General features: G+C 48.0%; 1 protein-coding gene across 2 annotated transcripts in view, besides 3 other annotated features; it reads right to left on the bottom strand.

The window, feature by feature from the left end:
- Positions 1-13,836, bottom strand: part of DLGAP2 (DLG associated protein 2) — a 970,849-nt gene that overhangs the window by 625,848 nt on the left and 331,165 nt on the right. The window lies entirely within an intron of this gene.
- Positions 5,842-6,342: an enhancer, noted in NCBI's record as "H3K4me1 hESC enhancer chr8:1026287-1026787 (GRCh37/hg19 assembly coordinates)". NCBI's record gives its function as "activates a minimal SCP1, AML or CMV promoter by ChIP-STARR-seq in naive H9 embryonic stem cells {active_cell/tissue: H9 hESC(naive)}" and the evidence as "EXISTENCE:reporter gene assay evidence [ECO:0000049][PMID:30033119]".
- Positions 11,155-11,681: an enhancer, noted in NCBI's record as "H3K4me1 hESC enhancer chr8:1020948-1021474 (GRCh37/hg19 assembly coordinates)". NCBI's record gives its function as "activates a minimal SCP1, AML or CMV promoter by ChIP-STARR-seq in naive H9 embryonic stem cells {active_cell/tissue: H9 hESC(naive)}" and the evidence as "EXISTENCE:reporter gene assay evidence [ECO:0000049][PMID:30033119]".
- Positions 11,682-12,209: an enhancer, noted in NCBI's record as "H3K4me1 hESC enhancer chr8:1020420-1020947 (GRCh37/hg19 assembly coordinates)". NCBI's record gives its function as "activates a minimal SCP1, AML or CMV promoter by ChIP-STARR-seq in naive H9 embryonic stem cells {active_cell/tissue: H9 hESC(naive)}" and the evidence as "EXISTENCE:reporter gene assay evidence [ECO:0000049][PMID:30033119]".

Here is a 13,836-nt window from a genome sequence, read left to right as displayed (position 1 = left end):
GGATGGAGGCAGATGATTGACACAGCGTGGAGCCACCACCATGCCCAGCCCTGCTCACACCAAATGTGGGTTCTTTGACATGTGTGTTCCGAGGCGTGTGCCTCTCCTTCTGAGTTTAATTGTGCATGAGTTTGCTATCAGTTTCCTCTGAGAGCCACGGCACCCCCAATGTGGACAGAAGATTTTCTCCATTAGTATCCCGTGTTGGCTGCCCCCACCCTTAGCTAGATCCAGACAATATTTTGAAAAGGTGATTTTTTTAAAAATAAAGAAAACGTAGAAATGGGAAGACTCAACGGGGTAAAATAAGAGAGATAAAAAATCAATGTGTAAAAGATTTTTCCTGTTTTTGCAAAAATTTCTTGAAAACAATTTTCAAATTACAAACACAACACACTGGGGGATGGTTTTCCACCTGCCACTCGAGTTCTAGATCGACAAGAGATGGATCCAGACAGACAGAGATGTTCTTTAGGTAACAGGAAGGTGTCTATGTAAACTGCACACAGCCTCAAAACAGAGGAAGATATTACATGTAGGGCAGACATCACACGACTCGCCACTGCCAGGTGCATTTCTTCCTGCACAGAGGGGGCTCTGCCATTTTCAGAACAGGGAAAAGACAGTTTCGCTGTCTTCTTTTCTTGGAGATCTCCCCTTCTGATTTAATCTAGAACTTAGGGGGCATTTTCCTGGCATCCTGATTGGGGAGTAAGTGGCCAGGGGTAGGAGCAGCCGCAGCGTCGGCATCCACTCGCTGCTGGAGATGGAATATGCCTGCTTGACATTCTTTTCTTCTTTGTCGCTGTGGGTGAAATTAAGTTCAGAACATGTGAGAGTGTTTTAAATTCTCAAAGTTCCTAGTATCCTGGGTGAACTTTGGGTGCCCTGCCTATAGGAAAGACTCAATAAATCATGAAAGAACAGAATGGAATTAATAAGAAAAGGAACACAATCTTGAATATTTTTTCTCAAAACTAGCCAGGCGTGGGGGTCACGCCTGTAATCCATGCACTTTGGGAGGCCAAGGCAGGAGGATCACTTGAGGACAGGGTTTCAAGACCAGCCTGGCCAACATGGAGAAACCTGTCTCTACTGCAAGTACAAAATTTAGCTGGGCGTGGTGACGGGGGCCTGTAATCCCAGCTACTAGGGAGGCTGAGGCAGGAGAATCGCTTGAACCTGGGAGGTGAAGGTTGCAGTGAGCCAAGGCTGCGCCACTGCACTCCAACCTGGGCGACAGAGCAAGATTCCATCTCAAAAAAACTTTCTCTTAAAACCTTTCTTATGTATCTTATTATTAACCAGAAATTTAGCAACACAAATAGTAATAGCTAAGAATGAATTTTTATTGAGTTTTTACTAAGTGCAGGAACCTGTAAGTAGTTCCTATAGATTAACACTTTTAATACTGCCTTTAACCCGGTGAGATATGTGTTATTGTTATTATTAATATCATTATTATTTCAGAAACGAGAAAACAGTAAGAAAGGTGGCACGTTCAGCATTATTTCAATTGTAAAAAATGATGGAACAAATTAACACAAATTTAATAAGGTTTTATAATCATCACCTCAATAAAATCTTATTTTAAATTTAATATACCAAACACAATATATGTGTATGCTAATGAGGTAATATGCATATAATTTTGTATTGTTAAACTATCAAGATATCGATGGCTTCTCCATTTTCAAAAATATTTTAGTGCTAGATATGTAGAATTCCAGGCAATATATTCCTTTAAACCAATATTTAATACAGTAAATGTCCAGTATGAGAAAGTAGCCTGGACAACTCCTCAGAGCGCTGAGTGAGTGGATCTGACCTAGTATAATTTCAACACTTAAGGATTTAAATATATTAGTGCACAGGACTCACAACTGGAACAGAGACAGCCACTAGGATCCAGATGCATGAGCTGAACAAGCACCTGTTCAACAGCCCTTTACCGAGTAACTACTGCGTTCAGCACGAAGGACAGAGCGCAGGGCCCAGGTCCCTGTTCCGCCTGATGAGTCCCTTACTCAAAACTAGGAGCTCTGTGTCCCTGCAGCTTTCCCACCCCACTTCAGACGTGCGAGCACAGAGGCCAGGTCCCTATTCCGCCTGATGAGTCCCTTACACAAAACTAGGAGCTCTGCATCCCTGCAGCTTTCCCGCCCCACTTCAGACGTGTGAGCACAGAGTGCACAGGCTGATGGCGATTTTCTAAGTGTGAGGAGCATCCCTTCGTAACGCACACCTCTGTGAGGGCACTAAAGAGACGGCAGCTGCAGGAGCATTAACAAGGCACTTGAGGAAAGGCCGGCCCCCCGGAGGAGAGCACAGCAGCACGCGGGCGGCGGGGCGGGGGTGGCGCCCGCATCACACCCTGGAGACTCTACCAAGTGCCTGCTGAGTGCCTGACAGCAAGCTCAGTGTTTTGTGGAAAATAAAAATGCAAGTAGTTCTAATGTGGAGCTCCGCACCTGCTCAGTGGCCACTGCAACCCCCCAGCGAACCTGCAGCACGGCCACATGGCTGGGAGGCTGGGGAAGCAGGCCCGTGCCAGGCCCCCCATCATACGCTTGAGGACAAAACCCATGCCCTTAACCCACTCCTCTTTCAGAAGCCTCCACTTCCTCATCTCTAGAAGCAGAATAACAACAGTCACCAGGACCCACGTTAGAGAGGAGTGCATTCCAGCACTGTTACACTGCCACTTAACCAGCCTGTGCCCTCACAGGGCCGTGCGGCCCCAGCTGCCTGCCACGTCCAATCAAAAGCTGCTCTCCTGTGAAATCCTCACTGACGTTTCAGACCCAAATTGAGCTAATTTTCTCTCCTCTGCCCCATTGCTCTGGGCTCATCTTGCAGACACTTCTCATCGGCCTTGGATTGCTGCTATTTATGTCCATGCCTGTCCTCCCAACTGGATTATAACCTCGTCCAATCTATGAATCATATTTTAATTGTCTCTGTGTCTCCAGCACCTCGGAGAGTTCCTATTCATCGTTCACAGTCCATAAATGTTCCTAAGATAAACACATGACCATTAGAACTTATTCCTTTGTTGGGGAGCATAGCTGTATGACGAAACCACAAAACATAGAATAAGGGAGCTTATAGGGCCACATGAGCTCTTAAGATACCATCTGTTTCTCAGTAAGCAACCAATAAAGGCTGCTAATCTGACTTTAATTTTTTTTGAAAAATAGTTTAAACAAAATAATGCAGAAGAACTTAAGGCACTAATACATTTTAAAACAGCACACACACTCCTATTAAAATAGACTGAGACAAGGCATAGACTGAGAGAAAATATTTGTAAAACACAAATCTTATAAAAGGTGGATATTCAAAATATATGAATAACTCTTAAAACCCAACAATAAGAAAAACAATCCAATTAAAAAATACACAAAGATCTGAAGAGACACCTCACCAAGGAACATATGTAGAGGGCAACAAACATCTGAAAAGACACTCCACACCACTTCTCACCAAAGAAATGCAAAATAAATCAAGAAGACACCATCACACACCTGCTCAGATGACCACAAGCTAGACCCTGACAGCATGAAACGCTGGTGAGGACATGGAGCAACAGGAACTCTCCTCCCTGCTGGTGGGAGTACAAAATGGTGCAGCCAAATTGGAGAACCATTTGGCAGTTTCTTATAAAACTAAACATACTTCTACTAGACAATCCAGTAACTGTACTCCTTGCTATTTACCTGGATGAGTTGAAAACATCTCCATACAAAAACCTGCACACAAGTGTTTACAGTAGCTTTATTTCTAGCTGACAAAACTTGGAAGCAACTGCGATGTCCTTCATTAGGTGAATGAATAAACTATGGTACATTCAGACAATGGAATGTTATTCAGGGCTAAAAAGAAATGAGTTATAATGCCACAAAAAGACAAGGAAGAAAATTAAATGCATATCACTAAGTGAAAAAAGCCCATCTGAAAAGGTTACATACTGTCTATTTCCAACTCTATGACATTCTGGAAAAGAAAAAACTATGAAGACAGTAAAAGATCAGTGTTTGCTAGGGGTTAGAGGAGAGGGAGGGAGGAACAGGCAGAGAACAGAGGGTTTTTAGGGCAGCAAAACTCCTCTGTGTGATGCTGCCAGGGTGGGCATACGCCATTCCACATGTGCCAAAAATCCCCAGAATGTGCAACACCAAGGCTGGATGTGATATAAGCTGTGGGCTTCCATCAATAATCATGGATCAATACTGGTTCCTCAACGGTAACCAATGTGCCACCTCATGTGAGACGCTAACAGCAGAGAAATGGAATACAGGCAAAAAGAGTAGGTGGGAACTCTGTAATTTCAGCTCAATGCTTCTGTGAACCTAAACCTGCTCTTAAAAATAAATTCTATTAATTTAAAAAACAGTGCAAGCCACTGTTCTTTCCATTGTTAATAATGTTCTAGATGAATAAATGTTCTAAACCAGGAGAGCGTCTCTGGAGGGCCAGCGTGTTGAGGGAGCTGGAAGGGAAGGGACTCACCATCCCTCCCATCTCGAAATTTAGGAAAACCAGGGACAGAAGGTAACCCTCACCGGGTCCCGGTGGGATTTAAGTTCCTCTGTGCTTGACCTGGAAGCAAGTATTTATATTGTAGAGCTGGCAACAGCCACAGAGGACATGGCGTGGATGACACCCCTGGAGTTATGCACTAGACAGTGGTGTGGAGAGAATCAGGGCTGTGCGGCGGCCGCTGGAGAACTCGTGCACGCACACGGGCGTGTGCTGAGACAGCTGTGAGCTCCGCTGTGTCACCCAGAAGAGCTATGAAAAAGGACACAGGAAGCTAGCATCTTCTTGTGGAAAAGGGGAGTTTGATAAACTATGCCAAGATTTTTCAGTAACCACTGCGTGGGCTAATCTCTCTACAGAAACAATGGAGCAAAACACATAGCTCAAGGGCTTCTTAAGAACATTCTTAGTATAAAACTTAGAGATGTTATTTTGGCAGATTTCCCAGCAAATGTTGTATGGCCATTGGTGGTTTAAACAATCCCGAGCATACACCATCTCACCTTCTTGTTAGCACACCAGTTGATATTATGAAGTACCTCTGGTAGACAGTGGAGCCCAGAATGGAATTGGGGTCCAGTGATGTTCACCTAAAAGTCCAACATCTCAGTGGCAGCAAGAATAGGAAAGTGACTCACTTTAGAAGCTGAGGCCCTGACATCACCACCGCCCCTCTGCTCCTGAGAACCACGGATATGATGGGACTGCCGTGTGACGAGCTGAGTGTTTACTAACAGGTGTGGGTAGAACTGTGCCCTGCAGGGGCATGTGCTGAAGCCCTAGCCCAGGACCTCCCAACATGGTTGCGTTTAGAAACAGGGGCTGCTACAGAGGTGACGAGGTAAGGTGAGGTCATGCTGGAGTGGAGGATCCTGCCCCCACATGACTGGTGTCCTCATCAGAAGCAGAAACCGGAGGACAGACACACATGGAGAACACTGCATGAAGGTGAAGGCTGGGATCGGGACTATCAGGCCACGGAACCCCAAACATTGACAGCAAATCAGGAGTGTGGGGGAGCCCGGGACAGACTCCTCCACCCTCTTGGTCTTGGGGGGGCCCGGGACAGACTCCTCCTCCACCCTCTTGGTCTTGGGGGGGCCCGGGACAGACTCCTCCTCCCCCTCTTGGTCTTGGGGGGCCCGGGACAGACTCCTCCTCCTCCTCTTGGTCTTGGGGGGGGCCGGGACAGACTCCTCCTCCCCCTCTTGGTATTGGGGGGGCCCAGGACAGACTCCTCCTCCCCCTCTTGGTCTTGGGGGGGGGCCTGGGACAGACTCCTCCTCCACCTTCTTGGTCTTGAACTTCGAGCCTCCAGATCCATGAAGAAGGGGATCTCTGGTGTGAGGCCCTGTGTTATGGCAGCCCAGGACACTAACACACTAAGGGGAATGGCCTTTAACGATGAGGAAGACGATGCTTCATTCCTAAAACTCTGCCAACTGCTGGGAAGGAGACGTACAGACCGCAAAGTTTCTAACGTCATTCACAAGTGAAAACGGAAGGCGGCTCAAGAGAGGGGCTGAGCCGTGGCCCTGGCCGGAGCATCACAGCCCAGAGGCCATCTTCCGAGACCAACCCAGGTGTGGGCCATGAGCGGCAGATCTGCCTCCTGTTCCACAAGAACTTCGAAAGCATCCTGCCCTCTAACCCATCCGACTTTCCGCAAAATACCGTACGTCTCCTGCATGGAAACTGAGGCTCGGAGACGGGGAGCTGCGACTCACTGCCACGTAGTGAGCTGGGACTTGCAGCTCAGTGTCTGTGTCAGTGCCGTGTGAGCTGCGGACAGCCGGCGGGGGCTCATGCCATTCCCAACCACCAGCACGCGGTATAGGCTCATTCCTTCACAGGCAGGAAGGCGGGTGGCACAGGGGTGAGGGGAGAGGCGGAGAACGTCAGGTTCACCTTCATGGGACAGGCAAGCTTGTGCTGCCTGGAGCAGGCCCAGCCAGCCTGTGCTTTTAAATCACTTGTGGATTTTCTAGATAACGTTGTTGTGAAAAAATCCTCCTACCTTTTGCTAGTAGTATGAATTCCTCTTTCTCTTTGAGAGACACACCTCAAATGCATCTTCCAATTGCTCTCTCTGGAAAAACCCCATAGAATAACTATTAAGAACTCAGGCCCAGACCATCCTGTGATTTTTCGGGTCTTTTTTCTTTTTTTTTGTTTTTATTTTTTTTGAGATGAGGTCTCCCTCCGTTGCCCAGGCTGGTCTTGAACTCCTGGGCTCCAGCAATCCTCCTACCTTGGCCTCCCAAGGTGCTGGGATTACAGGCCTGAGTTGGGACACCCGGCCTCTGAGCTATCTTTACAAAGAACCATCTGCTCATCACTCAGCCCTGACATACAACATGCCCTGGGGTCAGATGCAACCTTGCTCTCACTGACGGGCCCTCCTGCTTCCACAAAGGACCTGAAGGAGAAGGGAGAGTTCAAGTGGTCATCAAGGACGTCACATACAAAGACCTCAACCAGTGCGCAGTATGTCTAACTTGTCCTCAGATTTCACTTGTGTGCAGAGCTTTTGGTACTTAAGCAAACTTCTGTCCCATCTCCCCTGCAGGGGATGAAAATGCCATCACAGAAGAGGACAGTAGAGGGAAAAATGTGACTGGAACACAGGCACCCCAGAGACCCACAGAAACAAGCCCATTGCAGGAGACAAAGGGGCTCTGGGAGCCTGACCAGCCGCTTCCAGAACACCCAGCCGCGGTTCTCCTCCTGCGGATTCCAGCACCCCACAATGCACGCCTCAATCCGCATCGCCTGCTCTCCTAGGGATCCTTCAGCTCAACTTTTCCTTCCCTCACGCTCCTCAACAAGAGGGTCCTAACTCGAAAAGGCAGCCGGAGTGGTCATCTGGGCAGAACCTCCCCTAGAGCTTTGCAGCAACTCCCACTCATCCGAAAAGGAGGGGCTGTTTGTCTCAGCCCCAAGTGGTGAACTCCATTGAGTCTGAGGACATCGCCAGAGGGCTCACCTGGCACAGCAGGTGTGTGCAGTGGGCACCGTGGTCCCCACCCCCCGCTGCACTGTTGTGAGATGTAGTCGCCATCCCCCACTCCACCCCTGGCTGCACTGTTTGTTGGTGAGACATGGTCACCACTCCCTGCTGCACTGTTTGTTGGTGAGATGTGCTGCACCCCTGCCAACTGCAAGGTGACCAAGGAGAGTTTCACTGGGTTGACCCCATGCAGGACCCTGCTGGTGATGACCCAGTGACCTCTTGGAGGCTGCGGATCCCTTTGTTGGGCAGTACTGAATTTTCTTGGACCTGCATCAAGTCTATATAATCTTAAACGATACACCAGATGACTTCTAAAAAATCACCCACGCCTTGACGACCTGGTCACTGGAAAGACGAGGAGTGGGAAATGCTCTCTTCCTTTCCCCAAAGTTTAATACCGAGGTCCATTTTCCACCTAATTCACAAGCGGATCAAACGCCTCATCTTCACCTTGCAAGTCTGTTACTGATCTAGGCTTGCTCTTGGTAAGAAGCAAAAAGAGGGGAGTGGAGAAGCCCCTGAGCCAGGGCAGCCTCGGCTGTGAAGGTGGGAGCTCTCTCTGTCCCCGGCATTCACTCACTTCCCTCTGTCCCACATGAAAGGGTTTCTGTATTCTGATGTTAGCTGGACACACTGTAGGCAGAGACTGAGCATGATGTGAACTGAAAGGCTGAAGAGAAATTCTGTGCTGCAAACCCTTCTGTGACAGTGAATCCTGAATATGTACCTGGGTGAGTTCAGCCTCAGTCTGCTGCAAACCCTTCTGTGACAGTGAATCCTGAATATGTACCTGGGTGAGTTCAGCCTCAGTCTGCTGCAAACCCTTCTGTTACAGTGAATCCTGAATATGTACCTGGGTGAGTTCAGCTTCAGTCTGCTGCAAACCCTTCTGTTACAGTGACTCCTGAATATGTACCTGGGTGAGTTCAGCCTCAGTCTGCTGCAAACCCTTCTGTGACAGTGAATCCTGAATATGTACCTGGGTGAGTTCAGCCTCAGTCTGCTGCAAACCCTTCTGTGACAGTGAATCCTGAATATGTACCTGGGTGAGTTCAGCTTCAGTCTGCTGCAAACCCTTCTGTTACAGTGACTCCTGAATATGTACCTGGGTGAGTTCAGCCTCACTCTGCTGCAAACCCTTCTGTTACAGTGAATCCTGAATACGCAGCCGGGTGAGTTCAGTCTCAGTCTGAAGGTAAATGTACAAAAAACATCAGAACTTACTCCCCTGGACTCTGCCACAGAATAGCAGAAGATAAAAATATCCACGTGTGAAAAGATAAAGCGTTTGGGAAGGAACGGCAGTTCTCAGGATTACTAACTTTCTGCATGGGAGCCGTGCATGGGAAATGTTTGTGGAAAGCACTGGCCAAATTCAAGTTCCAGGCCATCTACAAAATGCACACACAGCTCCTCTGTGCAGGGCTTTGCATCCCCTTCCACATGTCTGTGCCACGTTCCACCATTTCACTCAAGGAACTATGACACAGTGCTTCTAAGAAAACAAAAACCATCTTTGGAAAAGTAAGAGAACGCATGCTATTTATCCTGAATCAACCGTTTTGTTCTTTTAAATTCTGAGCTCAGGAGCAAGTATATTTTTTCTGAGTTACATATCCATGTCTGTATTTCCAAGGCTAATACAAAAATAGTTCTATCATAGAACCCCATGATCATTAAAAAAAATTTCAGAGTGACTATTTCTTAACGTATTAACTACAAAACTTTATAGCTCCCTGTAATTTAGTAAAACAAATGATTTGGCTATTTGTTTTATACCCAGTTTTTTTACAATTTTATTCTTTAGAGCTGATTTTGGAAGAATATATAAATTGATATGTTCCAATAGCAGAAGAGAAAGATGATCTCAAATGTTTTGCTGGTGTCATTTCTATTGAATAAATGATTTTAGAAGGTGGAAGACAGACCTGGAAGCCAGATCGTGCCTCAACTCAAAATAACAGCTACGAGACTGACTTCAACAGTGGGCTTTTATTCTCTTGGGTAAAGCACGGTGCTATAATGATTGTGACAACATAAGATCAGAGGTACAAATGAGAGGTACAAATGGGGAGTGATAATTAGTCGGATACAGCTAAAAATCCTAATGTGTCACATAGGAACTCCCTAATTAAATTAATACAGTAACAGCAGATTCCGTCTCAGCCAGCAGGGAGAAATCCCAGAGGCACAGGGTCCCCGGGCACACTCAGCCTCCCCGAAACCTTCCCGGCAGTGGAGCCCCACAACGGCCTCTTCTTCCACCCCAGGTACGTGCCTAACAAACGCTGGCTAAACAGAAAGTGTCATTCTCCACCCTAAACAGAACCTGCCAGTGTAAGCACTGTGTGCAGCTGATGTATTTTTAATAAGAAGCACATCTTCTCCAGGAGAGCATGATGGTGAACAGACTTGCTTGATCTGTTTTGAAAGGATAGCAAGGTCAAACCCACCAGCACCTTCACTGAACACACACCCAATGCTCTCGGGAACAGCCACAAGCCAGGCCGCACCTCCCTGCCAGGTGCCTGCACTACCGCGGGGAGAAACGCTGCGGTGAAATCAAACACGCGTCGAGTTCTCCAAGATAACGTGAATGAGGACTCTGCATTTCAAGTCTCCAAGAACATTCTTACATTGGAGGACACCCAGTAAAGATTTCTACAAATCAAACTCATCAAATTTTCATTGGATGACCACATGTGAGAACCAAGATTTATGAATTATATGGATGAAGAATTAATGAATAGGAAGCTTTTTTCTTTCCAAAATGTTATTACAATGTCTACCATCCCCGATGGAAGTGGAAAGCTGGAGAGAGTGCCCTGCATCTGAACACCATCAATCAGGAGGCTCCCGGTCCCCTCACAGTCCCTGGGGGAATGTCTCTCGATGTCACCAACTTTTCTGTAACTGCATCAAACCCGCACCCCCTCCACTGTGTGCCTTGACGGTGGTTGGTGGCACAACTAACTCTAAGCACGACTTCATGGCAGGACGGAGCCAAAGATCATCCACTCCCTGATCCGAGTGGTGTCTGCAGCCATTTCTGCCTTCAAGGCCCAGGCAGCGCTGGCCGGCCAATGTCCAGCACACTGACGAGAAACCACGTACAGCCAGCACGGCACCCAAACCACCCACTTAACCAGACTGACACGAGTTCCCTAAACTCACAGGCCAGGGAGCCTCCTGCAGCTTGCAGGGCCAGGTCAGAAGGACATGTCACTTTTTAAATGTTTGACTAAATAACTGGGTGATTAAGTATATTTCTTTTATTGACACACACACATATTCACTTCACTGACATTTATCTATACACACACATATTAGGAAAATAAATCAAAATTGCACACATCCTTGGAGCCAGTATTCCACTGTTATCCTAACAAGTTGTACAATATTCACAAATCCTTAAAAAAATAAGGCTTAAAAATCGGTATCACTAAATGAACCAGGTGGAAAATGGATATGGAAAAAATTAGACACAGAAAATAGAAAATGGAAAGAATCAGGCTAGCGCTGTTTTGTGAAAGGCACATCATAAGAAGGGAAATCTGGATCCTGTCTGGCACCGGGACGCCCAGGAGCAAGTGTTCTCCTGACTGGTAGCTGAGGACAGCTGCCCCAGCCTAGGCTAGCACAGCCCCACCCAGGAGAGACTGCACATCATCCAGGGTGGTGCTGGAGGAGGGAGGGGAGTCATCCAGGAAGCCACCCTTGAAAGTCAAGCACCGTGGAGGCGGCCGAAGTGGTTATTTCAGGCATTGTGGAAAGTGGTGGTTATTCCTCTCACCCACAAGAAAAAGGTGACAAGTGTAGTCTAACTTAATGCTGGGTTACTCTAGAAGTACAGTTTTTATCATCACACAAAAGCTAAAACTGGAAAGCACCACTCACCATCCTCTCCTCCCCAGCTTCCGCTCGGCAGCTGGGCTGCAGTCAGCTGCAAATCCGTGGGAGGAGCAGCCAGTGGGAGGAGGCCAGGAGAGAGAGGCCCGGGTCGCCCCCGAAACACAGGACCCTCATTCTGCTCAGTGAGGTGCCGGCGCTGAATCTCATCCACAGCACACTGTTTGCTAAAATGCCCCTTCTGATTTGGAAAAGCAGCCATCGGAACACAGGCTGAGTCTTCCAGGGGCTTCCCCTCTGCCTCCTGATCCTGGAGCCAACGGTGCTCAGTGCTTGTCGGCAATTGTGGGGTCTGGAGAGTGAGGGCGAGGGGCGAGTGGGAACAACCACAGCCCAGCTCAGAATACGCAGACGGCCTCTCTACACGGAAAAGCCAGCGCGTCCTTCTTCCTGTGCACAATCATTCATTCATTCCAAATACTAGCTGAGGGAAAACAGTTTTGAAGGCTAACTTTCCCCATGGTCTTTTCTGTAAGGAGGGAGTGAGTGTTTGTGTCTGTATGTGTGTCTGAACAGACACACTCACACTTTTCACATACGCGTATGTATGTGAAAGCTGCACCTTTCAAACTGTCTTTCTGTTTGGAACATGAGTAGACATTGGACAGTGCCGAAATCGCCCCTCACCTGTGAGATATTTCAGAGCCTAAGGACACGGATTTGACTTTCACGTGTTTTCACCACACATTTTGGGGTTGTATGTTGATGTTATAAATGGCAGAAGCAAGAGCATTTCTAAAACTGTTTGTGAAATCCACACACCTCCCTCAGGAACCACGAGATTTATTGGGCCATGGCAGGACGAGCCCATGTCAGCCGCTGCTCACCAGGCACCCGGGACACAGGGCCTCTTCTCTGCCTAAGTCCCTGCTGTGGCTTCTCGCAGCTGCCCTGAACCCACGCCATGAAAAAAGATCTCCTTCTCCCATTTAAGACAACACAGAACTCAGGAAAGGAGGCAAGAAAGGACTCGCCGAGTCTACAAATCAGCTGAAGTCAAAGAGCAGAGAGCAAAGAGGTGCACAAGATGCCCCAAAACCTTCTCAGGTTTTCCTCAAGTACAGGTTTTCAGGAAGTAGCGTAGTGATTTGGAGAAAAGAATGTTTGAATATGCACAGTGCCAGAAACACATACTTTTAAGTCCAAGAACAAAACATTTCCAAAGCTAAATGTGTGTTTAATGTACTCTGATCTAAAATCCCTTCCCTCTGTCCTCTGACGCAGCTTTGGGGAGGGGGTTCAGCCTGGCAAAAGGAGGACGGGAGGGGAAACTGAGGCCTCTCTAGCTTGGCTTCTGGCCTCTTCCGCAGACGTGAGGCAGCCACAGGCCCTCACAGCATCCTCCTCCACAAGACACGCATTGTGGCTGCACCTCATCTTGTTGTGGAATCCAAACATGATGTTGAATTCCAAGCCCTCAGGCCAGCACTCAGCATTTGGCGAGCACAAATAACTTTTATCGTAGGTACAGCATTATAATATCATATTAAGTATGGTGCTTATAGGAGTATATATTATACTCTAATGACGCTATTTTTAAGCAAAAGACAAGACATCTGAGGTGGGAGCCATGATAATTTCCACGGTGAAGGGACAGTAAAGCTCGGACTCTCGGATGTGCAGGTCCCACTGTTCTCCCCAGAAACCGTTATCTCAAAAAAGCAAAAATGCAAGTCCCCGGTTGCTGAGCCTTCTTTTTGTAGCATTCTAAAAATGTTACAGTTGACCTTAAGGGCTGAGAGGACAGGAGTGTGCGGAGGACCCAGGGCATGGGAGAAGCCGGCCCGTCCTCCAGTGAGACCTGGTGTCCTCGCGACCTGTCCACGGGCCGCAGGTCTGTCCGACCCGGCCTCCTCGCGACCTGTCCAGGGGCCCCAGCTCTGTCCGGCCCAGCTGGCAGCCCCCACCACCTCTCCCACTTCCCTGCCCACCAGCCCCTTCTTTTCAGTTTAAACAAGACTGCCTTAGCAAACACAATTTGGGGCCCAATTCGTTCTCCACAAATATTTGCCCAGAGTCCGTATCACTCTTCCAGCAACAAAGAATGCTGCTGCCGCGTCAGCTGCAATAAATGTGTGTCTAGTGCAGGGCAGTGCTACCCGCCAACTTCAGCCGGGGATTTTTAATGTTTGTTCTTGTTACCCAGACTGGGTTTCCATTAGGCACATTCCTGTGAGTCTTTCAAGGACTGGGTCCCACAGAGGTCAAAGGCCAGGCCAGAACCTGCCCTGAGCCCAGCCCCCGGGGCTGCCCAGGTTCACAGATTCCCTTTTTTATGCAAAAATCCTCACTCTAGAAGCATCTTCTTGATAAACAAGCTCAGGGAGAGGATGGGCTGGAGAAAAAGCCCCCACGAGGTCTCCCTGGGAACA

This window comes from Homo sapiens, chromosome 8 (genome assembly GCF_000001405.40).
Source record: "Homo sapiens chromosome 8, GRCh38.p14 Primary Assembly".
Taxonomy (NCBI): Eukaryota; Metazoa; Chordata; class Mammalia; order Primates; family Hominidae; genus Homo; species Homo sapiens.
The sequence above is the reverse complement of the archived record's forward strand: the minus strand, read 5'-3'. Positions and strand labels throughout refer to the sequence as shown.